General features: G+C 38.3%; 1 protein-coding gene across 7 annotated transcripts in view; it reads left to right on the forward strand.

The window, feature by feature from the left end:
* The window catches only part of GRM7 (glutamate metabotropic receptor 7), an 880419-nt gene that overhangs the window by 444598 nt on the left and 422614 nt on the right, over nt 1-13207 (forward strand). For all 7 annotated transcript variants that reach the window (XR_001740135.3, NM_181874.3, NM_000844.4 and 4 more), the window contains exon 4: nt 786-940. Coding sequence is in view for 6 of the 7 variants with exons in the window: in NM_181874.3 (NP_870989.1) it covers nt 786-940 (155 nt within the window). In the remaining variant the exon portion in view is untranslated. The remainder of the gene's footprint in view (nt 1-785; nt 941-13207) is intronic.

The following is a 13207-nucleotide window of genomic DNA, read 5'->3' on the forward strand; positions in this document are numbered from 1 at the left end:
TCTTTGACCCAATCTTCCTGCATTTAGCCATGTAGCTCTGTGGTGCCTGATACTCCCAAGTCCCAAGAGACAAACAAACCACTTATCCTGTGGTCTTACCCACCAAAGGGGCTTCAGTTGTAGCTTTTTCTGATCTACCAATGCAGTTACATCTCATCAATCCCCTCTTCCAAAAGTACTATTGCAATAACTTTTTCATTAATAGCTAGTTCCCTTTTTTCTTTTATTTGCTCCCATTGTCCTGATTATGTATATATAATACTTTCAATCATACACAAGTTATAAATTTTTCATGTTTCACATGGAGTTCTGTTTATTTTAATAAATAATTAACATCTTTAATTCATAATCATATTGCTTTTCAGAGATAGTGTATACCATCAGCAGTAAATGAGAGTGCTCATTTCTCCAGCCCCAAGCCAAAACTCTTAAAACAAAACAAACATTTTGGCCAATATGTGAAATGAATTTGGTATCTTTGTCTAATTTGCACTTCCATCCTTTCTAACATATGTAAATATGTGTCTTTACCTTATTGGACATTTGTATTTATCTTTTTATCTTTTAACAATTACTATTACTTGCTCTTGTTTCTGAAGATGCTTTTTCATTATTGGTTTACAAAATATCTTTATATATTAGGGATATAAATTCTTTATCAAGTTTTTTGCAATTATTTACTTTTTGAGGAAGAATAGTACCTTTCCTTTTGCTGACTTGCAATCTACACGGATTCAGCTGACGTTCTTTATCATTAATATAACTTTCCATATTTCTTTCCACAGGCAGATCCTTGCAGCAGCCAAAAGAGCTGACCAAGTTGGCCATTTTCTTTGGGTGGGATCAGACAGCTGGGGATCCAAAATAAACCCACTGCACCAGCATGAAGATATCGCAGAAGGGGCCATCACCATTCAGCCCAAGCGAGCCACGGTGGAAGGTATGGGTTTCATCAGCAGTAGGTTTGCTGAGAGAAGTTCTGGTGCCATGCTGAATGGCCAAGCATGTGACTTTTTAGGGGTTTGGCATTTTTACCAAACTCATGTGGGGTTGTTTCAAACTTATAGCCATGAAATGCAAATGAGGCCACACACCTGGTCTGTTCTTTTAGTTGAAATTCCTCTTTTGAGGAGATCATATTATTTTCATAATATCACGATTAGCAAAAACATTCTTTCTTTTTCATTCATGCCATAGGAACTTTCTGAGAGGAGAGCATTATCATTAATAAGTAAAGTATACACATCCAAGTGTGTATAAGTGAGCTACGTTTTCCAAGAGAATCCTTTCACTTTGTAACGCATCCATTATTTCCTTATTAGAAGAAGTACAAGAACCCTTTCCCCCCTTATCTCTCAAGGTCCCTTCCAGCTCAGGGAGGCTGTAATACAGCACACCACCTCTCTCAGGCACCAGCATCCCCTCACCTTCCTAGGTCCCTTTTGTTTTCACTCTCTCCTTTTCTTGCCTTTCTAAACTTATGCCTCTTTCTTTGCCTTCCTTGCTACTGCAAAGATATTTTGAGAGGCAGAAGTAGGAAAGAGTGTCTGTTGCCACCCTGTAATCTGACAAAATTTGCCGATTATAAGTTATGTTATTCTTTAATTTGGAAAGAAAAGTTGTTTCTAAAAGAAGACGCTGTGTAAAAGGAGCTTCTCTGCTGATAGCCTGCTTTGTGTTCCTTTTCTGATGGGCCATGTCTCCAAAGATTCTCTAAAACATGCTTTGCGCATTAAAAAGAACTCTATCCTCTCACTCAAAAAGGGATCAAATATTTGCATTTTCTATTCTCTCTCCACTCAAATCTAATTAATTATTCTCCTCAGAAGGCTGCATGTTCTGTGTAGGCTTTTTAGACAAATCAGGTTGTGGTTCTGTCACTGTTTCCTTTCTGTTATCTGGAGGAGATAAAAATCTCATGAGTCACCCATGTTTTCACTGGGAGGCTTTGAATTAATTTCATTCCCCAGTACATATCCAGAAAAGATTGCCTATCTTACAACCCAGACCAATGCATTTGCAGATGGGTTGCAAGAATAAAGGACGATATTTTAACCTTCTCCATTCCTTGCACTGGAAAAACTGTGTATCTGTTGTGTGCCTTGCTCAGTGCTAGGAGTCAGGAAAACAAAAGATGAGGACTCAAAATTCTCACCCTCAAAGCATACAGAGCTGAGTGCAGGTGTCAGAACAGGCAGAGACTACATGGGAAACATTGTAAGTACAGTATGGAGGGCACAGAGAGTTACCATGGAGGCTTTCCTAGGGTGGTGGTGATATGGTTGGGGAAGATATCGTTGGATGCGAGAAGTGATAACTGGGATGAAAGTTCCCTCAGAGATACAGGGAAATGAAGGAACAGGACACATTAGGGAAAATACAAATAATTCATTCTGCAGCACTGTCCTGCACTCCTGCCTTCTTAAAATCCTTCCAGTTCTTTAAGAATGTTCCTATTTACAAGACACTGGGGAGACCCTTTCCTCTTCTAGAGTACTAATCATTGCTACACTGTTTGGTTGATTGACTTCTATTTATTTTGGGGGTCTCAGATGTTAATTTTTCATGGGAGCCATCTGTGGCCATCTCACCCCAACCAAGTGTGGGTTAGAAACCCCTTCCATTCCTTCTATGGCATCCCACACATCTCCTACTGTTGGAACTACCTCTTTACTTGTCTCTGTCTAGAAATATCCCTATTATGCACCATCGTACCCCCAGCACATGGTTCTTTGCTGAAAGTTGTAGGTGCTCAAACACATTCTTAAGTGATTATGTGTCTGGAGGGATGGAGGAATCGCAGATCATATAAGGACATGGCACAAAATCAGTTTGAAAGTGGGCCAGAAGTTGCATTGCAAAGGGTCTTGAAAACTGTACTAAGGAGTTTGTTACTTTATGCTGAAAATCTGAAGAGCATCCGCATGTGTGAGATGTGATTGTGGTGGCATTGGAAGGTTTAGAAGTTCACTCAGGTGACTGTAAGGAGGGGTGAAGGGCAAGAGTTGGGTGAGATTCAAGGAAAACGAAGAACTTTCAGGGCTTCAACTGAGGTCCTCTCTTCCTAGGCTGTGGATGCCATGTAGACACAATGCACATATTCCATGGCCATTAACCCCTGATGCCTGATATTTTAGGGAACTTACTGGGTTATCTCAAAGGTTTAACAAATTATTGAGGTAAAATATTATTTTCATGTAGATATAGAAATATACAAATTTACAAAATCAGACAAAGAACAGCATCATGAACTAGCAAAGTAAAAATTAAGATTCCAAAGAATGAAATTGGAGAGCACTGTTTTAAAAACAATGTTAGAATGTGATGGAATAGCAAGAGTTCATATGAAATTTTCTAATCTCACCCAGAGAAGAGTGAAGATTTTTTGTGGCCATGTACAAAAATGCTGTGGCTTCCATCTAGCCATATTGCCTAGGTACATTTCTTATAAAGAACAATCAAGTTTTGTTCACTTTCGTAGCAGACAGAACATTAAGATAGCATCTATGCATTTACAGTGTCACTTCTATGAAAGTTAAAAAAGAAGAAATGCATTCAGTTATGCCAAAGCTTCTGAACAAAACTATGAAATAATCTAAGATAAAACTATAAATGGAGCAGAGCCTATGTGGGCAAGTAAGTTTTCCTGTCCTTCCCTACAGTCATTTGCTTGTTTTCTTGTTTGTTTCCTTTTATCTTTTTCCTGTTTTGCAGATGTTTCATATTGAATTATGCTGGGGTAGAATATTTTTCAAATATTCATGATACTGCTCCATTCCTATATCTTTGTGTTGTATAATGCTATACCCTCAGATGGAAGGGAAAAGCCAATCAGTAATCTACCTTTTTTTCCCTTTAGATCCATATCATGACTACGTTCAGCAAACATCTGGATTTTCGGCCGGCATTTTTCTGAGTATGCATTCAAAATAAGCAGAAATTGTGTTAGGCCAAAATGCTGGCAGATTTATTGCCTCTTTGAAAGTGGCCTTTCTCTTCTATCTGTACTTATTCTCCATTTGTGGAAAAAGGGAACTTTAGTGTTTCTTAGCCAAGGGTGTCATTTCCCCCCTTTCGATTTAATGATGAAAGGAGCCAGTTTCCTGGAGGGGTGGCTGTGGTCCCGCTGCCTGCCCAGTGTTTATGGGAAATCTGGGGAATGTCTCTAGAACTTGGCAGCACTCCTCCAGCTCCTGAGCCAAAACACTTCTGTAATTTTTAGTGTGTCTGCATTGTCTGATGAGCCAAGGAATCCCTGGCATTTCCTCACTCATGTGTTGCCCCATTAACTAGACTCTTAATAATCCTCTGCAGCCTCCAAGGAATCTGCAGAGTACTAATGGCCTACGTTGCCTTCAACTCTTCATCCTCCAAAGTGCTCTGCTTCTCTGAAAGGAGGCTGTCCTAGGCATCCTCTAATTATGGCCAACAAGGGTCATGGACCAGCATAATTTCATCTCTTCCATACTCATTAACATTAGGAAGCTAGTATAATGAAGGGTAGATTTTCAAAACTAACTATAATGACTCTCACAATTGGTGATGATTTTCAAATGGGACTGTAGAACAGCTTGGTTCATGAGTTAAATCTGCAATGTATGTAGGAATAGACAAAACATACTCTGGACCCAGCATTAAAGAGCTAGCTTTTTAAAAATAATAGTAATTTTTACTTATGATTTGAATGAATTCTTTATTTTTCCTAAAACTGGAAAGAACAAAGCTGTGAAGATCTGAACTAAAATATTCCTGGCTCCAATTTAGATATGCCCTACTTTAGCTTCTCTTGATTACCTGCAATGGTCTACCTGTGTCACAGGGTTTCTCTAGGTGAATGGGGAAAAAAAATGAGAAAGAAAATATTGCCTTGAACCACAATGCTGCTTCTAAGCAATGCGTATGTCTTTTGGCCCTATCACCTTGTTTGATAAGAGAGCAATGAGATACTGCATGATAAACCTGTACTCCTGCTATTTGTGGCAGAGTGGGTTTCTGTCACTTGCAACCCAGACTACTTGAAAAAATATAGTTGAGCCCAAACTACTTGAAAATATGGTTGAAAGCTTCTTCAGGGCCTTTTGTTCCACTTTTTATGGTTTCTGAGTTATACCCTATCCAAGTGCCATTTAGCCTACATCATTCCACTCTCTTTTTTCTCTCTTCCCTTATCCCTCTCGCATGAGATCTCTGCATTCTCTGAGCCCCATTATAAGTCTCATCTACCCTTCCATACTTTCCTTTCCTCATCACATCAGCCTTGTTCCACATCTCATCCCCTCAGGTGTGCTGTGTCTATTCCACTTTGAAGCATCTGTCACATATAATTAGTTATTCTTTGTATATATCAAGGTTATTAAGTAGGATCAAAATGATACATATATCCTTTATGAACAAGTTCTAGAGGTCAAGAATAAAATAGTAAAGAGAAAAATCTTTTTAAAAAAGATAGATTCAAATATACCTGGGAAATGTAGATGAACTATGCGGTCATTCTCCAGAAATCTAATTGAGAATTGAGAAGAGCTTTGAGAGACAACTTCTTCTACAGGAAGAATGATAAAATGAGCCAGATCCAGTAAATAAGTTTTCATTGTCAAAAGGAAAAGACAAACTTCCCTCTTCCAAGGCCAGCATCCACTGGACTCATAGGTGAAATCCCACAGGGAACAGGCAGGCAGACCATACATAAGAAAGGATCTCAGTCTGATAGGCTAAGCTACATAGTGGCAACAGATAGACTCTCAATGGACTAATGGAATGCATGAATATTTCTCACCCATGTAAAGTCTTCTGTGGTTCTAGGAGACTTCCCAGGGCATTTATCCTCCCTGTATTGTTCTGCAATCTGGGCCGTCTCAATCTTATGGCACTTGTGTTTCAATACATTTTTTTTTTTTTTGGGATGGAGTCTCGCTTTGTCACCCAAGCTGGAATGCAGTGGCGCAGTCTTGGCTTACTGCAACCTCTGCCTCCCGGGTTTAAGTGATTCTCCTGCCTCAGCCTCCCTGAGTAGCTGGGACTGCAGGCATGTGCTACCACACCTGGCTAATATTTGTATTTTTAGTAGAGACAGGGTTTCACCATGTTGGCCAGGCTGTTCTTGAATTCCTGACCTCAAGTCATCCGCCAGCCTCAGCCTCCCAAAGTGTTAGGATTACAGGCATAAGCCACTGCACCCGGCCTCAACACATTCTTCTTTCACCACTGTACAGCTTTGGAAAGAGAGTGGTAGATTCACATACACTACTCACAAATGCTTTTACCTGTAAGAAATGTCCATGATTTCTCCTCCTCTATCATTAACCAATAACAAAGTCATAGCAAATTTTCCTTTCAAGGAGCTTGTTTATGAAAATAAAGGAGAGCTGAATATTGATGAATCTGAGTCCTGTCTCCCTCAAGCTCTGTTTAACTGAAACCTTTGGTAGCATTTAGGACACTAGGAGCAGTGCTTTGGAACTTTTTAACAGCGGGCAATAAATGATGAGCGATGCCCTGTCCCTTACTTTGCCACAGATGTCTGAACAGCTCTGACACCACATGCGGTGTCTTGGCAGCAATGCAAAGGAGGGGCTTCCAGGGTCAGTAGAAAACATGCTACTTGGCAGTGTCTTGGCAGTGCTACTGTGGCCAGAGGATCCCAGAAGAAGAGAGCAGTTCCTCAAAAGGAAGGGAGGCAATCAGTAGACTCATATGAGAGAAGTAGGTGGACAACCTTTGGGGACATACTGCAAGAGCCATGTGGGAAAGTGTCCCTGGGGCTTGGTAGGGTCGAGTGATATTATTCCATTTATTCCTGCAGACTGTAGCTTGGTGAAATTCCAGTTACCTCAAGGAGACTGTGGATTTGTCATTTGTGACTGATGTTCTTGACATTCTCTTGGCCTTTTTGATAAGCAGAAAACTTCTCCCAATATGTTGGTTTAAAATGCCAAATGCTGACTTACCCAACCTTCCCTGCAGTTAGAGGATGAACAAGTGACTTAATCCTGACCATTGGGATGGATGATGACATTATCTGAGGGAACTTCATAGAGATATTTCCCTCCCTTAGAAAAAAAAAATGTCATGTTAATAGGGCAACTATATAACATTTTATCCAAACCAGAACACCTTAGAAGTAAAAGGGCCATAAACTGTGATTGTCCCAGCCAAACCAGGGTATGCAGTGACCCTTCTCACATGAGAAACTCCTGCCTTCTCCTCCTTTTTTTTCTTTTTTTCTTTTTTTTTTTTTTTTTTATCTCACTCTGTCACCCAGGCTGGAATGCAGTGATGTGATCTCGGCTCACTGCACCCTCCATCTCCCGGGTTCAAACAATTCTTCTACCTCAGCCTCCCAAGTAGCTGGGATTACAGGCGCCTGCCACCACGCCCAACTAGTTTTTGTATTTTTAGTAGAGATGGGGTTTCACCATGTTGGTCAGGCTGGTCTCAAACTCCTGACCTCAGGCAATCCGCCCTCCTCAGCCCCCCAAAGTGCTGGGATTACAGGCGTGACCCACTGCGCCCAGCCTCTCCTCCTGTTTTTAATGTTATCATGTGAGGACAGGATACTTGGAGCTGCTATAGCCATCTTCACAGAAAGGAAATATTAATACCAGAGGAAGGCAGAAAAGACAGATAGAAAAAGCAAAAAGCCTAGGCCCATGATGACCTTACTTAAGCTGTCAAACCAGTCCTGGAATTATCTACATTAGTATTTGTTCTTATGTTAGAAAAATTACTGTTATCTTTAAGCCCCTTTTAAGCTATATATTTTGTTATATGCAACCTAAGGTATTCTTAATAAAATACCTTTCTTATTCACCTCTGTATACCCAGCACTTGAATATTACCTGTAAATTAATGGACTCTTACAAAATATCTGTTGAATAAATGGGCCTTACAAAATGATGATTTTTTTAAAAATAAGGAGTATAAGTCATTACTGTAGAGTGAAAGTTCAGATAGCTTCAAGACAGATTGTTACCTTTGCTATTAATATATATCCCTATATTTATCACCACAGGAAATAATATTTTGGTAAATTTCTATTATAAGGTGAAGCTATTTCACATGCGTTTTTTATAGAAATTATGAACTTTGTGAAAATATCCATGCAAGAATTGTCCCTAAGGGAAAATATAAACTAACGAATGCTCTTACAATCATGAAGTCAGTACAGCTTGTGGTTCATGAGTGGCAGCAAAGTTGTAAAATGGAGAGAGAGAGAGAGAGAGAGATTTAATATTTTAAACAAATACCCTTTGTGTTGAAATTAGAAATGTATAAATATTGATATCCTGAATTTTAATTCTAAAGAAAAAAGCAGAACGCCAGTGTCTTGATAAAACATTTCTCAGGTCTAGGAAATTAGACATCAATTATATTATTGGAGGGTTTCATTGAATAAGCACATCTGACACTGGGTAGATTTTTCCTTTAAAATCATTTAATACCTCAAAGCTTAAAATCTTGAATTTCATGTGACCCTTGCCCAATTGAGAACTGATTATGTGTATAATGTGTGCTCAGGATTATAAAATGATTCATCTAACTATGTCAGCAGCAACTTTCTCCCTAAGTTATCGTATCCACATTGTAATATTCCATCCCCCGTCTTTCTCCCTCCCCCCTAAAAATTGATTTCACTGTCATCACATCATCATTAGCATCTCTATATATTGCAAAGTTATAAGTAATGGGCTGTTGGATATGGAAGATAACATTCATCCAGTTTTCAAGTGTTAACTGTCTGCTGTTTGTCAGACACTGACTATGGCCAATTGCTGGTGACCACAAAACAGAGATCTTTGCTAACGTATGAATTTACACTCTAGCAGAAGTAGACAGATGATAATCAATAGGCACAATAAGTAAGTAAATTATATACAATAATAGGGGTGGTAAAAGCTGTAATTTCTACTCTTTATTGATACTTTTTATTTTGGTCATGTCTTTTTTTCCTATTTTCACTTAGTTCTTTGTCCATGGTTTCCTGTAGCTCTTTGAGATATTTAAGATAATTGATTTAAATTCTTTGTTTAGTAAGTCCAATGTCTGGGCTTCTTAATGGACAGTTTCTGTCCATTTTTCCTCCCTTTGAATAAGCCATATCTTCCTATTTATTTGTATTTTTTAAAATTTCTGTTGTCAAATCCTTGGCATTGGAATCTTATGATGTAGTAGCTCTAGAAATAGGATTTTCCACTTTCCCCTTAGTATAATGTTCTTGATTGTTGAAGGCTACAATCAAGTTTGTTTAGTGACTTTTCCATACTATTTCTGCAAAGATTGTATTCTTTGTCATGTGTGATTACTGAAATCTGTTTTTTTTTTTAACCTTATATTCAGCCAGTGTCTTGTCAGAGATTTCTCTAAATGTCAGGACTATTAGAAAGAAAACAAAACAACAACAAAAACAAAACAAAACAAAAAAACACTCCCAGTCTTTGCTGATTGGTCCTGTGCTGGGACATTCTGTCAACCCTTAGTTAGGCCCCTCATAACTGTGCCTTATCTTTCACTTCCTGCTTGCCCTGACCTAGGTCAGTCACCAGTGAAAGCTTAAGGTCTTCTCAGGTCTTTTCTGAGTGTACACCCTGCCCTGGACATGCCCGTGGGTTTCTAAATTCTCTATTTTACATAGGTACTTTTCAATGCCCTCATTTTTCAAAAGAACTCTTTCCAGCTTTTTCTCCTAGGCTTAATGCTGTATATTGCATGCCTCAACTTTAATCCTTTGCCCCAGGTGGCTGTGGGTTTTTCATTCACCTCACAGTGTTTTCTAGCAATGCCTCCCTATTCTCCACCCTGAGAAGTTCTGAGTTAGGTGAAAAAGAAACAAATAAACTTTGTCCATCCTTCAGGTAGCCCCCAGACAAATTAGAACAGACAAATACAATAATTTGTGAATAAATTCGTCTTTATTCCCTCTGGAACCCTATATGAGGATCCCACAATAGGCACATTGACCTCTGTTCTCAGGGCCACTGCTAAGCCTGGTAAGAGGTGGGACAAAGACAAGTAAAAATGTCACAAAGCTTTCCCATCCTATTTGTCTTTTTCTTGATTTAATGTTCACTTGGTTGCTGTAAACCTTTGAGTTTTCAGCATTCTGACAAAATTGGTTTTGACAGTTTCTACTTGCTTTTCAATATTTCTGTGGAGGGACAGGAGCTTGGAGCTGCCTACTCTGCCATTTTGCTAACATCACACCTGACAAGTGCTATAAAGTAAGAAAAAATAGAGCAGGAAAAGGGAAATCATCAGTGGTCAGGGGTGTTGCAATTTTAAATGGAGTGGTCAAGATACTCTCATCAAGATGTCTTTTGATAAGTGATTTGAATAAATAAAGGAATTATCCAAGTATCTATCAGGGAAAGAGTGTACTGGGCATAGAAAACACTGCCAGGGTCCTAATGAAGGAGCACACTGGGCATGGGTGAGAAACAGCACAGAAACTGGTGAGCCGGAGCACAGTGAGGAAGAGGGAGATGAAGTCAGGATATAAAAGGAGGATCAGATCTCATGGGACCATGCAGGTGATTGCATGGACTTTGCTATTGATTACGAGTAAAGTAAGAGACCATTGTAGGGTTTGAGCACAGGAATAACCTGATCTGTCTTATGTACTTAAAGGATCATATTGGCTATTAGGCTGAATGCAGAATATAGGGTAAGAAGGATAATATCTAGGAGACTGGTAATGAGGTTATTCCCCCCAAAACAAAGAAACAACAACCACCGCAACAAAAAACAAATGAGAGATGACAGTAGGGTGAACCAGGGTGTAATGCTGAAGATAATGAAATAAGTCTGGATTTAAAATATATTTTGAAGCTAAAGTCAATAGGGATTTAGAACAGGAAAAAATATATAAGAATGACTGCAAGGTTTTTTACTTGCATAACTAGAGAGATGGAATTATGATCAGCTGAGATGGAGAATACTATCATTAGAGCAGGTTTTAAGGGAACAAACAGCAATGCCAATTCTGGAGGTGTTAAGTTTGAGATACTTATTAGACATCCAAGTATCTATCCAAGTATCTCAGTATCTGAAGGTAGGCAATTGCAATTAAGTAAGCAACCGGATACATAAGCCTGGAGTTTATGGGAGACATCTGGAAACAAAATTCAATTTTGTGCAGCCATTGAAATATAGATGGTATTTTAAGTAACACAGAAAATAGGGGACCAAAGGACACTTGCTAGAATATTCTGTCACTTGCTAGAATATTCTGTCATCACGAGGATAAGAAAAGAGAAGCCAGACTGGCCAGTGAGGAAGAACAAAAATAATATGAGTATAATTTATTGGAAACCAGGTAACGTAACTGTTTTTAGAGTGGAGCGATTTCATCAGCTTCATCAATGTACTGCTGCGAAGTTAGGCAGAAGTACTGAGAATTGACCATTCAATTTGACAATGTCTCTACATCATTGGTGATTTTTTACATAGACTTATTGCGTCTGAGTGATTGGAAAAAGTCTGGTGAAGTGAATACAAAAACGAACGTGGTGATGTGTCTATAGTGAATACCATCCCCTAGAATTCCCACCAACCTCTTCCCAATTTTTATATGAGCATACCACAGACCTTAAGGAGAACTATAGTCATATAGAACTTTTGAGTATCTTCGAAGAATAGGCCATTGTAAGTGACAAAAAGTCATAATTATGTAGAATAAATAATAATACTGTCCTCTAGAATACCAAGTTGATTTTGCATATGAGGTCATGTTGAGACATACAGATTGAGCAATAACTTAAGAGAAACTTAAATGAGGCAGGTATTTTGCTATCTTAACAGCATGATTCAATTTACTTCTAGTCCTATAATCGCCACCAATTACTCTGTATTGCTAAGAATAGAGAAAACAGATTGGTTCTGGAGTTAACCTACATCAGTTACAGTGTTGGTTGTGACAAAAAATAGCTAGGGTGCTAAGTAGGCATGGATAGATGTTTTTGATAGTCTATTCTAGTGCTTTCATATAGAAAATGAGTGGACAGGATTAAGAGGTTATTGAGAATGTTTTTTAGCCCTAGAATTCTCTGATTTTCTACAAAAAAAAAACTGTGCAAGGTAGACAAAAAGAACTTGAAAGACTGCTGTCAAGAAGAAGAGGTGAGGGAATAAAGAGAAGGAATTACAGGCTTCTTGAAGTTATGGGTACAAAAGTTAAAATGATTAAACAACAAATTTAAGATCTTGAAATACCTCTCTATTTTATTCATGTAGAGGATAAACAACAATGAATGGCATTATTAGAGGAGAGTTTGAAGAAGAACAAGAAAGGGAGCCAAGTAAAGGTGAAGTCTAAAATCTGAAACTGAAAAAAATAAATCTACAAACCGAGTAAGAAAAAGGAGAAAAAAATCACAGGCGTCTTAACATTTTGAAACGTCCTATCTTTTGAATCAACTGCTGCCAAAACAAATTGTTCTGAAACTTGTCCAAAATCTAACTTTTTTCCTTTTTCAGGACATCAGCAATTTATTTGTTTTTTTATCACAAGGACAAGAAAACAGTTTTTATCTGTTTTTACCATTTAGGAAAGCAGGAACTTGGTGCATCACTGGGGAGAAGGAATTAAAGGCTGGGGCTAAGACTTCTCTTCCTTGCAAGCAGTAGATCATGCCAGGAGCTCACAAACTCACCTATGGGCTGTGAAGAACTGTACCTAGTGCAGTAAGAAAGTATTATTAGTTTGGATTGAGTGAGAACAATAAGAAAGAAGTGCTTGAAACTATTAAATACAGGGCTTAATATGAAAGCAAATCAGTAGAGGGAATTGAAAGGGCCATTAAGTTAGCCAAATGGATGGCTGGAAGAAAAGTCATTTATAAATTTGGAAGGTTGAAGGGGTTTTTTAAATGTCCTTTAACAAAAATCAGATGCTGGTTAATCTCTTTTCATTTGGAAAAGGGAAGAAAAAACCCTCTAAATAAGATGGGCATTTTTTAGGCTCAGTATATTCCTGATATTAGGTGTGTGCTGTAGGTTAATTGAAATTTTAAAGTTAAAATGACCTTCTTCTAACTTTAAGTAGAAACTGTTTTTTCCTTAGTCAATTGTAAAAGGAGGATGTTTTACATACTGTTTCCAAGACTAAATTTACTGTACTATTTGTAATTTGTCTGAGAAAATTACTTCCTTAACCTCTTAATACTCCATCCTCTTTAATATTGCAAAAAGAGCTGACTGCTTTTTTCTCTGA

Source organism: Homo sapiens, chromosome 3 (assembly GCF_000001405.40).
Source record: "Homo sapiens chromosome 3, GRCh38.p14 Primary Assembly".
NCBI lineage: Eukaryota > Metazoa > Chordata > Mammalia > Primates > Hominidae > Homo > Homo sapiens.